Genomic DNA, 14,244 nt, shown 5'->3' on the forward strand with positions numbered 1-14,244 from the left:
TAGAAAGTAAAACAGACTATTGGAAGATTCATTGACACAAAAGCAATGGTCGATATGTCATTCTTTTTTGGTCTGGTGTAATTTCTTATTGTTTTGTGATGGATTTATTAACAGAAGAAACACACAGACAAGTCCAATAGTAATTGAGTTATAGTCATACAACTTTATTACTAGAGGTCTTTATTACTTAATCTAACTGTCTCATTTTGTGTATAAAAACACCTGAGGCCTAGAGATCACAAAGCTTAGTCAGGGTCAGGAGTAGAACACAGTCTCGTAACACAGTTTTGACACATTTTCTACTGCTTCATGATGTACAGGCAAGTGCTGAAACCAAACATTGTCAATAACTCATTAACAGGCCAAGCTTTGAATCCTGTTTTGTCCATTTGCCAGCTGTGAACTAGATAGTAACCTTGGCTAGTTAGCTAATGTCAAAAAAATAATTGTCCACATTTTGGACTAAAAACTAGCGTTGTCACTAGAGTTTCCTCCTGTAGCATAGATGGTGTTATTTCAGTCCTGCCTTTAAAGACTGAAAGTCCTGTTTATTTCCTACAGAAAAAAGTGTAGACTCATGATTATGGCTTTCAAGATATTTTATGTTTATCAAACTCATGCATAAAACAGGTAAATGGATAAGTTAAACAATTCAGATAGACACTCAGCAATTAGAGAATTTTTTGAATGCTGTAAAGGTGAGGTATATATACACACACATACAAATACATAATTTTGTAAAACAAGCAATTTAAAAGGTTTTAATGAGTGAAATAAAGATTTATCTGGAATTCTATAGAATAGAACCTTTAATTAAATCACATTTGTATGCATCTATAATTTCTGAAAATATTCATACTAATTCCTTATGTGTAATAAAAGAACTTCCAAGTAGAGATATTTAACATTTTATATGTACAGATTAGTAGAAGTAAAAATTTTGTCTGCTTCAACATAGTTGAGCATTAGGAATGGTTTATATTCTAATTCTTAGACAGGTTTTTCTAAGTCATCCGTTCCCATAATGAAGCCAGGAAATAGAAAGTTTAACTTTCAAAAAGAGATTCCTTTTTTCCCCCACTGAAACTGGAATTTATTTCTGCTTAATATAAAGATTTGGATGGAAATTATTCCATGAAATCACAGAATTGCAGTGAGATGGGACATTAGAGGTCGGGCTACCTAATCCTTGTACTTTGGAAATCCTGAGCTATTATATGTAAATATAGAATTTTTTCACACATCTATTAATGTTTGGGCAAGAAAGTCTTGGAGCTGCATTTGTCTCATTTCTCCCATGTTAATTATGATACCAGGGCTCCCAAGGCAATTTATTATGCCTGGATTCTGTTAGTAGGGAGGGAGTTGAGAGCAATGGGCTGTGTTCTGGGCAGGAATTCAGGAGACCTGCTTCTCACAAATCTTGTCCATTCAACTAAATCTCCAAATTCAGACCAGGTAGAAATTATAGAGGACATGCAAATGGATAGAGGGATTAGTGCTTACTAAGCAGCTTTTGATCTAAAAGATCAGGTAAAAAGAATTCTAAAAAGTATGTATTAAAGACCAAATAGGGTGGTTTTACTCTAGATACGCATACCCAGATCACTGTGTGGATTACCAACTGTGGTTAAGAATACTGACTGCAGCCAAATTGTCTGAGTTGGAATTCTTGCTCTACCCGTTATTGTCTGCAGGCTTGGGCAATCTGCTTAAGCTTTCTGTTTCAGTTTTTTCATCTGTAAAATTGAAGGATAATAGTTACTAACTCATAAGATGGTTGCAAGGATTAAACATCATAGGAACCTATAAGTGTTAGCTCCTAAATTTATTATTTAGCTAGAATAAGGCAGGAGGTTAGGAGAATTTAAATCCATGAATGTGTATAATGGGTACAATAATTCAGTTTACTTGCTTTGCAATCCTAATGTAATGATCAAATGAAGGGACTTATGTGTAAAAGTATATTAAAAAGTTCAAAATTTTCTGCAAACAAAAGTCCTTATTTTTTATAGTTCAAGTTTGTATCTGGCCTTATTTTGAGTCTGGGATTTGCTGTCCCAAAAGCTGATAGTTTATTCTGGTGTTGTAAAGAATCTAACACCAATCAGTCACCTGCCAGCCTCCAATAGCATCAGGTACTATCAGCTTCCAAGTAATAGGTCAGACCCAATCACCTGAGGAAATATGAAGGCAGATGTTTTCCCTGCAGCTGAACTCTGGCTCTTCTCAGCTTCTTATTTTCATTTATGTGTCACTGATGCTGTTAGACATCCTCTTTCTCATGATAACTTTGTGCTGTCTGTGCTGTTTACCTTAATTCCTATAGTACAAAACCTATTACAAAATTGTTTTTGAGTTGATTGAACTTCAGATGGATGACTTTATTATCTGTTTCTATGTTGTCTTTTCTTGTAGTATTTAACACCTCTAACACACCAAATATGTTATGATTATCATGTTTTATTCATCTTTCCCAGTTAAAATGTCAGCTCCCCAAGGGCAACAAAGGAACCTTTGTTAAGTTCACCGATGTGTGCCAGTACCTAGAACAGGGACTGCCACATAATAGAGGTTCAGTAGATGTTTTGTTGAATGCATGAGTGAGGGATAATAATAAGTGATTGAGAAAAAAAATTTAAGGGAACCAGTGAGTTGATGGGAGGAGTGCATTTTTGAAACAATTTGTTAAACATAACTTGATTTTTTCTAATAAAAATATTTGTACAGAGTTTACATTGGAGGAATGCCCTGTGAGCTTCTCATACCACAATCTGATAATTTGTAAGTAATTCAAATTATTTTCTTTACAAAAACAAATAGCAGATATAAGCATACTAAATTTAAATAGTAATTGCTACCAATACTGCATAGCTAAATGGTTTATAATACAGTATAAATTATAATATTCCACATAGCGCATTAGCAATCATTTTTACAGTTAGGTGCTACCTTACAGTTAGGTCTCCAAGATAGTATGATATGAACTATTTAGATTTTTATGAAAAAAGATGTTTTGAGCAATATCTTTACCAAGCAATTATTTCATTTGGCAGTATCTCAAAGTCTTTTAAAGGAATATTAAAGGGCATAGTCAAATTAATTATAAAATATTTTATTGTTGTATAAAATTTTATGCAAACATCTTCAACAAAGTCTGGGAAATAGTTTTATTTTACAGAAATTTTGGTTGTAGCAACAATTTCTGTCCTGATTCATATTCTGAAATTAATGAGTAGTTTTTAAGAGAAACACAATATTCTAAAATTTTAGTGTCTATATAAGCTTTGACATTAACTTTTTTTTAATTAGATATGGTCTAAAACTGGATCATCCAAATGGAGATATGGGTTCTATGGTTTGTAAGACGACTGGAACTTTTATTGGCAAGTGTTGGTCATCTTTCTTCATAATGCTCACAGATGCCTTATTCTATTTCCCTGTTTTGTATTCTCCTAGACCTCCCTCCTCTGCCCTTTTGGATCAGGTGTTTTTGTTTGTTTGTTTTTTGTATTTTCTCTTTTCCTTGGCTTCTTTTCACTTTCATGCAAACATGTATGAATCAGTATTTTCTTATGGTTTATATATAAGGTAAACTTCCTCAGGTTTCTCTTTCTTCTTCTTTCTCCCTACAGCATTCCGTGTCTAATTTGGCTATTTTGCCTGTTGCCTTAATTTTGCTCTGTTCTTTTCTTCTTGATCTATGTCCTCCAGACACATAGATCTTTTAAGAGTGTGTGTGTGTGTGTGTGTGTGTGTGTGTGTGTGTGTGTGTGTGTGTTACAGAGTCTTGCTCTGTTGCCCAGGCTGGAGTGCAGTGGCGTGATCTTGGCTTACTGCAACCTCTGCCTCCCAGCTTCAAGTGATTATTGTGCCTCAGCTTCCCGAGTAGCCGGGATTACAGGCGCACACCACCATGCCTGGCTAATTTTTGTATTTTTAGTAGAGATGGGGTTTTGCCATATTGGTCAGGCTGGTCTCAAACTCCTGACTTCGGGTGATCCGCCCGCCTCAGCCTCCCAAAGTGCTGGGATTACAGGGGTGAGCCAACGCGCCTGGCCTTCTTTTAATTCTTGAATGGGCTTCCCTCTCTTCTGTCTCAGGCCCTTTGCAAACTTCCTATCCTGAACATTTCAGATAAAATGCCATGTTCTCAAAAAGGCCTAGGTCATCACTTGTCTTACATTCTCAAAGCTCATACTACTTTTTTTTTTTAAATAGCATTATCACAATTTTTAGTTCTCTGTGTCATTGCTCTTGGCTAATGTTTCCTTCCTCTAGACAATATGTTCTGTTATAGAAGAAGGACAAGCTGTGTGCTCACCCCACATCTGCTCTCTCAGCCTCTAGCAGAGTGTCTGAACAGTTAAATAGCTGTTAAATAAATAAAAGAAATTTCAGGGCAATATGGTTACATATCTGTTCTTTTATTATTCTTCATTCATGATCATATTTTGTTATGTGTTTCTGGTTATAACTTCAAGACACCTTATTACGTATATTTTTATATAGTGGCTGCTTTAGGATAGTTCAATTTTTATTTCTTTGATGATGAATATAAAATTGGATAAATACAATTTTGATTTTGTACTTTTTCTCTGCTTTTAAATCAGCTTTATAATATAGAGTTATTGTTCTTCTGTGACTGGGAATTTAATTGATTGTGTATTTTCATTAAATTCCAGGTCATCACAATGTCAGCTTCATCTTAGATAATGATTATGGAAGGTAGGCTATTTTGTAAATAATAACTTTTATAATTGATTCAACAGGGTAAATAAGATAAAATGTATATTTAGTTTGTGCTGTAGATGCAGAGGTTTAAAAATTAACTACTTTTTTTCCCCAATTAACAGTTAAAGAGTCTGTACCTTCTTTTCACTCACAATTTATGCTTCATACATAACCTTTCTGTTGTAGGGAAATCTAGCATTAACTAAAATAACATAAAAATCTTTACTTGTGTTATGGAAAAATATTATTTTATGTCCTGCAGCTTTTCTGATTTAATTGTAACTTTTTAAATAACTAAAGTAATTAAATTTAGATTTAAACTAATGGAAGAATAAAAAAAACCTCATGGTTAATATTACCTGATAAAGATTTTCTTTTAAGTTATCAAGACATAGAGAGTTGTGAAAGATGGTAGTTATATCTTTCAATTGTTCATCTTAACAGCAATATTAATAACTCATATTTATGACTTCTAATAAAACTAGAACTCATTTCCAGATGTTCTACATTCTAATTTCAATAAGAAAGATCATCATACATTTATAGAAACATCAGAATATGCAAATCTCAATGCATGTTGAAACCCCATATTATAGATAATAATAGTGAACATTTAGCAGCAGGCATGGTATTAAGCACTTTACATACATTATCAAGTTTAATCCTCCCAAAGAAGCTCCCAAGGATAAACCGAGTGTTATCATCTACCCTGTGTTACCCACTGGGAAAATGAGACTTAGGAACATTAGGTAATTTGCCTAGGGATTTTCAGCTAGTAGGAAGCAGCATTAGTGTGCAAACCCATGCCATCTAACTCTAGGACCTGAGCATTTTATTCCAGTGCTTTGCCATGACTGATGGAGCAGTTCAGCAACCAGTACCACATTTCATCACTGCTTACCATCCTGATCCAGGATTTCATACCATAGCAGGATTTCCCCACTCTTGGGAGCATTTGCAAATGTGTGAAGAATCCCCTGGCTGTCATAGTAACTGGGTATGTTAATGGCCTTTAGTGGGCAGTATCATGATGTGCCAAACCCAAATTAATTGTTCTGCCCAAGATGTCATAGTGTCTCCCATTGAGAAAGCGAGTTGACAGAAACCCATATAAATTGCATTATTTAACACTCAATCCTAATATAGCTATAGTAGATTAATAATAGGAAAGATCCGGTAATTTCTTTTTTGTCTCTGAACAATGATCAGAAGTCTGAAAAAAATGGCAATATTACAATCTAAGTAGATGTTATTCCTAGTAGCACTCACAGACTACAAGTGAAGGATGAGATTTTGTCCCTTCATGTATGGAACTGCAATTGGTTTGTGAACTCAAGTACACTATCATTGTATTTAGAGATCATCTACTTCTAGACACCTAGAGGCAATCGGTGTCATTATAACAAATTGATGCCTGGCTGGACACTTTATTATAGACCAATATAGGCTAGACCAAAACTAAGAGTAAATCAGAGTGGAAGATATATAAATGATGCTAGGATACACCTTTGTGATTTACATGGGACACATGACTTAGGGTCCCATAACTTAACAGTTATTCTCCTTAGGGATGACCTACTTACATACGACTTGATAAGACACGGCAACAGGATTTTGTTGAACGTATTAGAAAACCATGTTAGGAACAATAATTATTGAGTTTTAAATTATTTTTTGAACTACATATGATTTTTTTAAATGCTCTTAGTAGCAACCTTCCCAAGGTGAAAGAAAAATGAATTCTTAGTTCTGAGTCTGTATGAAAGGCATTAATTGCCAAATCCATCATATGTCTCTCAGAGAAATAATTATCCAAAAATAGAAGGTTTGAGTGATCAAGGTTGAACGTGATTGATAAGTACCCATAAATCAATATGCTGCATTAACATGCCCAGAAACTTTCAATTTAGAAATGCCAGGAAATTCACATATAATATAAGCAAAAATACTGCATTAAATTGTTGATTCTGTGGACTCAATTTATAATTCCACCCCCCACCCATTTTTTTTTAAAGCCAACAGCTATCCCTTTGTACAAATGTCTTAGAATTGAGGAAATTTGTGTTTCTGTATAAAGTATTCTTATGAATTTAAGATAACAGAAATATGACATTTATGATTTAAAATCCTAGTTTTAAGATTACATTTAGGTAATCTTACATTAAGATTACCTAAAAAGATAAAAAATCTTACATTTTGAATCTTACATTCAAAAAATACATTATTTTTTGAATGTTAAATCATTCATTAACTTATAAAATTCATATTTCACAAATTTCATGAGCATTGTTGAATATCAAACAAACCAATTAAAGGCCTTTCTGTGGCATCTATTCTGTATTTCTTTTAATAGCCAACCTTCTCTCCTCTATTACCCCAAGTTCAAACAACAGCTGTTCCCAACTGATAAGGTTCAGACGAAGCTGCCTTAATTGAGAAATGCCTAGTCATTATCAATGAATTAGTGAAAATAACCTCAGTGTCATCCAAAATAAATTACATTCAAATTTTATTTCAGGAGGCAATTTCCCCACTAACTTAAGAAGCAGAGTTAATTTTTGAGATGCAGGATCTGACCAGACACAGTATCGCTGGAGCTAGCATCGTTTCAGATCTTTGGGAAATCAGCCAAAAGGCTTCTGACATAAAAATATGAAATCTAGTATGAATTTCTTAAGTAACTAATCTAGCATAAAATATTTCCAGAGACTCTTTAGTCTTGCAAATGAACATGGTAATGCCTGGGTTAGATTTACAGGAGCATTAATTGTTGGTCTCGGTGACAAGATTTACATTATTCTTTTAGATTCTAATTCAGTGTGATTATGATGAATGAGATTTGAGTCTTAATATTTGAATTTCTTAACTTTTCTAGTGGAGAACGTCTTGAAGGTAATTAAAGTAACAGCATTTAATTTCCAGAATTATTTTCCTTCTTAATTCTTTAGGTTTATAGAAGTATAAGTGTATATGTATGAATAATGGGCACTGTGTTTATTAAGGACAGTTTTAACCCAGTCAATTGTTGCTAATTTGCTGTCATCCATTTGCAGTGTCACACACATTAGTGGGCAGAGGAGTAGTACTGTGTAATACACACGTGAGGAGCCACAGCTCTGGACTCAAACTGCCTGGGTCCAGTTCTGTGTCTGCCACTTACTCACTGTGCGATCTTAAGTTAATTCTCTGAAATTTATCTACCTCATGTGGTTGATGTAAAGATCAAACGGCATAATCAATTGAAAGTTCTTAGCATGATCCCACCTCTTAGAACAAAAAGGAGGTTCTAAAAGAAGACAGACTGGGGCGGTCAGCGGAAGATCCCAGCCTTTATAAAGGGTAATCCTTTTGTATGCTTTTTTATGTCAATATAATTTCTTAAAATCAACTGTAGGGCCGGGCGCGGTGGCTCACGCCTGTAATCCCAGCACTTTGGGAGGCCGAGGATGGATCACGAGGTTAAGGGATCGAGACCATCCTGGCCAACATAGTGAAACCCCGTCTCTACTAAAAATACAAAAAAATTAGCTGGGCATGGTGGCATGCGCCTGTAGTCCCAGCTACTCAGCAGGCTGAGGCCGGAGAATCCCTCGAACCCGGGAGGCAAAGGTTGCAGTGAGCCAGGATTGCACCACTGCACTCCAGCCTGGCAACAGAGCGAGACTCTGTCAAAAAAAAAAAAAAAAAAAAAAAAAAAGAAATCAACTTTATTGAGATATAGTTTGCAATTTAGTAACAAATGTATACACATATGTCACCAACAACCAAATCAAAATAAAGAACATTCTTATCTTCTCCCAAAAGTTCCATCGTGCTCTTTTGCAGATTATGACATAATTTCTATCACTGAAGTTAAAAAAATGTTCCTAAATTAAAGATCATTTAAAGCAGAAAATTTAATCTTTTTTTAACAGGAGTTTTCCACAGAAAATGGCATATTTTGTTTCTTCTCTCAATAAAATTGCAATGTTTCAAACATATGCAGGTATGTGACTTTTCTTTCACTCTGTTGCGGGGGTGGTGGGAAGGCAGTGTATAATTGATTTAATCAAACCAAAGACAATGAGTGTAAGGTGTATTATATTATTTGATGTACTGCTAGGAAAGGAAAAATCCCTAAGATGGGGAGTCTAACAGGAAGCTACAACATTAAGCATGACCTCCCCCACAGCAGACAATATTCTTAGTTTAAGATTGATTGAAAAATAAACTCATTACACTAACACAGACAGCAGGGAAATTTGCATGTTTCAACTTTGGCTATTGGTAGAGGGAGGGAAAAAATCTCCACTGTCAATCTTAACCAAAACCAGTATAGATGCCTCTCAATTTACGATGGGGTGACCCCATCATAAGTTGAAAATATTATTACATCGAAAATGCATTTAATCCACTGAATGTGTATTAGCTTAGCTTAGCTTTCCTTAAACGTGCTGAGAACACTCACATTGGCCTACAATTTGGCTAAATCATCTGACAACACAGTGCTCTGCAGAATACAGGTTGTTTACCCTCATCATTGTGTGACTGACTGGGGCTGCAGCTGGCTGTGCTGCTCAGCATCGGGAGAGAGTATTTACCGCATATCACTAGCCTGGGAAAAGATCAAAATTCTAAGTACTATATGGTTTCTACCAAATTCATTATTTTTAAATCATTGTAAAGTCAAAAAATGTAAAGTCTGGTAACTTGGAGACCATTTAAGCTGTCTGAGATTTATGCTCTCAGTGTGGTTCAAAAGAATCCTCAAGACAATCATAATTTAATTTAAAGAGGTTTCAGGTTGATAGTATCCCTTGGAGAATATCAGAACAAACACAAATCATCCTGAGAAAATTGTACGTCATTCCCGGTCAGGAATAATGGAAAGATCGTTTAGATTTCAAAGATGTTAAAAAAGGTGGGTCTTGGAATCAATCAAATGTGATAACTTTTTGTGAATCAATCAAATGTGAAACTTCCTAGAAGTTTATTTAGTGTGAAATTCATATGTAAGAATACATAGATATTTGATAGAGTTAATAAGGATAAATTTTAGTAAGAATCTGCCATATGTCATTTATTGGGCTATTTTACAATATAACTACAACTTATATATGCAAAGCCACAAGAAGTTCAATCATAGTTAAATGTGTTACTCTAAAAGAAAATTATAAGAGGTTGGTCCATAAACATAGGAAAGATTCATTCTTCAAGAGCATATGGAAGAAGAGGTGGTTCTACCTGCCTTCGTGCTCAGCTCAGGTTTTCCTTACTTCTTTAATGCTCGCATTACCAATGTTGCTTTAATACCAGTCACCACTAAAGCCTGGTCCTCATGGAATGTAAGTCTCTGTCAATGCCATGTCTATTGTCCTTTTTTCAGGATTGCATCAGAGAAAGTAATGAAACACCTAATTCATGCAGTTGGTAATCTACTACCTGTGTTAGGCACTATGGCTAGGTAATTTGGAATTTTTAAAAAATCAGGTATTTGGGTTTATGTGTAATATTTATGATATTTTATTTAATGTGGTTTTCCCCCAGAGGTCACCATGATTTTCCCTTCACAAGGAAGCATTCGAGGTGGCACCACGCTGACAATAAGTGGGCGTTTCTTTGATCAGACAGATTTCCCCGTCAGAGTTCTAGTTGGAGGTATTTCTCATGGTTTTTGATATATTACTTTATTACCACAAATTCTGCCTGCTCTTTAATAATTTGTAATAATAATAATAGTCTTTTCTCAACTCATGCCTTCAATTGGAAGCTGAGTATTTTCACATAGTCATTTGGTTCTGGGATTTGATGCTCTTTCCATTGCAGTTTTCCAGCAAGGGTCACTCCCTGAAACCTCATGTGAATAGGACCTGAGCTCTAGGGATGGCACCAACAGGCTTTGTGTAGCAGCATTGTAGCTGCCATCCATGAATTCCTCGCCACAGTTTAAGGACACACCTACCCTTAATTTAGAAGCTCTTAAATGCCTTTTTTGAATGGTTGTTATTTCTCAGCGAGTTAGCTAATTGTGAGGAAATTTAAAGTAATATTTTGGTTATTCTCCTCATACTCTTCTCATATACTGTGCCTCATCTGGACATCAGTAATCACTGAAGATATTGGCCTTGGAAAGAGCAGTAATTTCAATGAGTTATCTGTTTACAAATCCATGTAGGGCTTGGCTCTGTGGTTATGCTTCACTTTTATGTGTCCTGTCCAGATCTGTTCAGAGGTAGGGAGCTATGCAGCTCAAAAGAGGTGAATGTGATTGTGGGAATCTTCCCATTCAGCCATAATGACATCACGTCTATTGCTAGGCAGGGGACAGGATGCCTGCCCATGCAACAAGGCATATGCATTTCCACAGTCCTCTTGCTCAAGTACTTTCTACCTTTTACAGATTCTGCCCACAAGCCAGCCAAAATGTGATTTCAGAAAAAAGAGAAATGGATATTAAGCAACCTCATGTAATATTTATACAGTCTTCTTTCGTGTCTGCATGAATCCTTGCTGGTCATTGGCATACATATTAAAACCTGGGCCATAAATATTTAAAATTTGTATAATGTATTAATCTGACCAGATTTTATGTTTTAAACATTAAAACCAGGGCCATAATGTACTTTTAATTTATATACTATGTTTTATAATCTGATCTTATGTTTATTTTGCATACGACTATCATACAGTTGATATGAAAAGAGAACATATTAGTTTTCTATCATCTTTCACTACCATTAATATGGCAACCAGATTCAAGATTTTGAATCCTCAATAATCTCTTGAAAACATGATGTTTATGTGTCTTTCCTTTGCTTCCAATAAAATGGGTGATTGGTTTAATATACTGTTCCTATTTCCTTTTTTCTGGTTCAAATTTCTTGCATCCATAAAACACTCAAAATAGTGAAACGGGCTGGGTGCAGTGGCTCATGCCTGTAATCCCAGCAGTTTGGGAGGCTGAGGCAGGAAGATTACTTGAGCCCAGGAGTTTGATACCTGACTAGGTAATGCAGAGAGATCTGTCTCTACAAAAAAAGAAAGAAAAAAAAGAAAAAAAAATTAGCTGGCATAGTGGCACATGCCCGTAGTTCCAGCTACTTGAGAGGCTGAGATGGGAGGATTGCTTGAACCCAGGAGGTGGAGGCTACGGTGAGCTATGATCATGCCACTGCACTCCAGCCTGGGTGACAGAGCAAGACCCTGACTCAAAAAACACACAAACAATAAAATAGTGAAAAGTATTGTCAAAATTTAAATTTTCCAGGCTATCAAACAAAACTTGGCAAAAATATCTCTCTCCATTTCCCTTGTCCTCACATTTCATGGGCTGCAATTGCCATTTCAGTGAATACTTTCTGAGGGCTGACCATATGTGAGGCATTGTGAGGAACACATGGAGGTTTAAAACATAGACTCTTCTCCTAAGTCTAATTGTGCTTATGTAAAAGTTACAATAGCTATCTTTTAGCCTTTTTTCCTGTTTTGGTTTCAGTCTGTCTGTGAAAATGCCATTTAACAATTATTATCCCCCTTTTTTTTTCATTTGAAGAACTTGGACTAAGCCAGCACTTTTTTCTACTGAAGAGGTCTAGGGTCATCTACCTTTGCAAATTCTGAATGACATGGGTTTATTCAGCAACTTCTCTCCAAGGAACAAAATATAAGTTTTTACTTTGAATTCAGAAGTAACATTTTGTGCAAAGACATAGTATTATCAAATTTTTTATCTCAGAAATTATGAAATTTTCTATCTCAGTCTTGTGATTTTCCACCAGAAAAAAATGTTGCTTTTTGGAAGTATGACAATTATTATGTGAAAAGCTTTAATAGAGAATATGTAAAGGAAATAAAGAGCCCTAATTTTGCCTCTTGTTTATGCAACTTTGTTTTAATTGCAAAAGTGCTTAAAGATACACTGATGTGATTTGCATTCTGAAGTTTCAGTAGTAACGGTTTTGTATCTTGCTTCTCTATAGGTGAACCTTGTGATATTTTGAATGTCACAGAAAATAGTATATGTTGCAAGACACCCCCCAAACCTCATATTCTCAAAACTGTATATCCAGGTAAGTTACCATAAGGGACAATGGCCATTTCTATATTCACATAAAAAGAATATATTAGTAAAAAATATTATTTAAATTTTTAGAATTTAGAATTTGTAGTAAGAATTGTAAGAAATTTCCTCCAAGTTTTAAAATTTACATTTTCTGGATTAGAAAATATTTCTATTAAAATAGCTGCCACAAAGCTGTACCTATGGAGAAAAACCCAGCCTAAATTATCAAGACACCCTACTGAAAATAGCACATCTCTACTGACAGAGTTTAATTATGCTTTTATTTCTAATTAAATTATGATAACTAAAACTTGGTATAGTCTACATAGAAATTTTTTAAATGCCTTTTTCTGATTAAAAAAAGATAAATAGGGGAAGTTAAATATTCACTTGTCTAGAATAATGTGGGAGTGAAAACAGGAGATGAGAGAAATGTTACTCTAAATTCTTTTCAGACTTACACCTTGTGGCTCAGTGAAATTGCTTTCCTATCTACACTAATATCATTGAAATGCTGTACATGTGTCTGCGTGTGGTGTGTATCTCATATCTTGTTCGCACCGTGAATGTTGTTTATAATCGTGTCATTGTTTCACATTTGAAGCCAAATGAATCGTTTATGAACCTCTTAAATTTGTTTGGTTTGAATATTAGAAAAAAATGAACAGTTTAAGAAAATAATTTTGATAATTTATAATTGATGACTTTAAAGAAAATTGTGTATATCACTAGACACTGCTTCTGTGAAAGTTTGAAGTGCTCAAAGCTTATCTTCAACCAAATTCAGCTGAAGAAGGGTAGCCATTATTTTCCACATACAGAAAAGCTTAAGGCTGCTAAAGGAAGAAGTAAGCCTAATTGTTGTTGCAGTTGAAGGAAAAAAAAAAGAGAGATGGCTCTTTTCTGATTAGGAAAAAATTTAATCACAGGGTTTATTCTGGCAAGTATAGGTACAGTTTATTGAGAGTATCCTGTTTTTGATTCTGTCCAAGAAGGAGAAGAAATCCTAGAGTAGAAGTAATGTTTTTTTTAAAAAGTAAAACAAACATTGAGAGAAATCTGAAAGCCAACAATTTCTCTTCTCTGATTAATGGCTTTGTAAGCCATTAATTTACTTTTGTTAGAATAGTCAAGGCAAAGGTTTTGTAATAAAATGGCATGAATCTTGAAGTTTCGCAACATCAGTTATATCATAATAATTACTATATATTATCTTACATAAAGCACTTTTTAAATGCCAGCTGTTTTACATGTGTATTATACATAATCCCTATAGCACCCATGCAAATATTATTATTACTCCCATTTTACATATGTGGAAACTGAGGCTCAAATAAGTGAAGTAATAATGAACAAATTACAGACTGCCCTCTGGCTGCAGATACGTGTAGGGGAATGTGTAATTGTTTTGTCTGCACACATACTAAAAATATGAATTGATATACAAAATCTATAACCAACATCCAAAT

At 34.7% G+C, this 14,244-nt stretch overlaps 1 protein-coding gene across 5 annotated transcripts in view; it reads left to right on the top strand.

Annotated features, from left to right (window-relative positions):
• The window catches only part of PKHD1L1 (PKHD1 like 1), a 174,747-nt gene that overhangs the window by 23,306 nt on the left and 137,197 nt on the right, over nucleotides 1-14,244 (top strand). For all 5 annotated transcript variants that reach the window (NM_177531.6, XM_011517371.3, XM_017013971.2 and 2 more), the window contains exons 7-12: nucleotides 2,731-2,784; nucleotides 3,313-3,386; nucleotides 4,686-4,728; nucleotides 8,649-8,719; nucleotides 10,261-10,371; nucleotides 12,693-12,782. In NM_177531.6, the coding sequence (NP_803875.2) occupies nucleotides 2,731-2,784; nucleotides 3,313-3,386; nucleotides 4,686-4,728; nucleotides 8,649-8,719; nucleotides 10,261-10,371; nucleotides 12,693-12,782 (443 nt within the window). The remainder of the gene's footprint in view (nucleotides 1-2,730; nucleotides 2,785-3,312; nucleotides 3,387-4,685; nucleotides 4,729-8,648; nucleotides 8,720-10,260; nucleotides 10,372-12,692; nucleotides 12,783-14,244) is intronic.

This window comes from Homo sapiens, chromosome 8, assembly GCF_000001405.40.
Source record: "Homo sapiens chromosome 8, GRCh38.p14 Primary Assembly".
Classification (NCBI taxonomy): domain Eukaryota; kingdom Metazoa; phylum Chordata; class Mammalia; order Primates; family Hominidae; genus Homo; species Homo sapiens.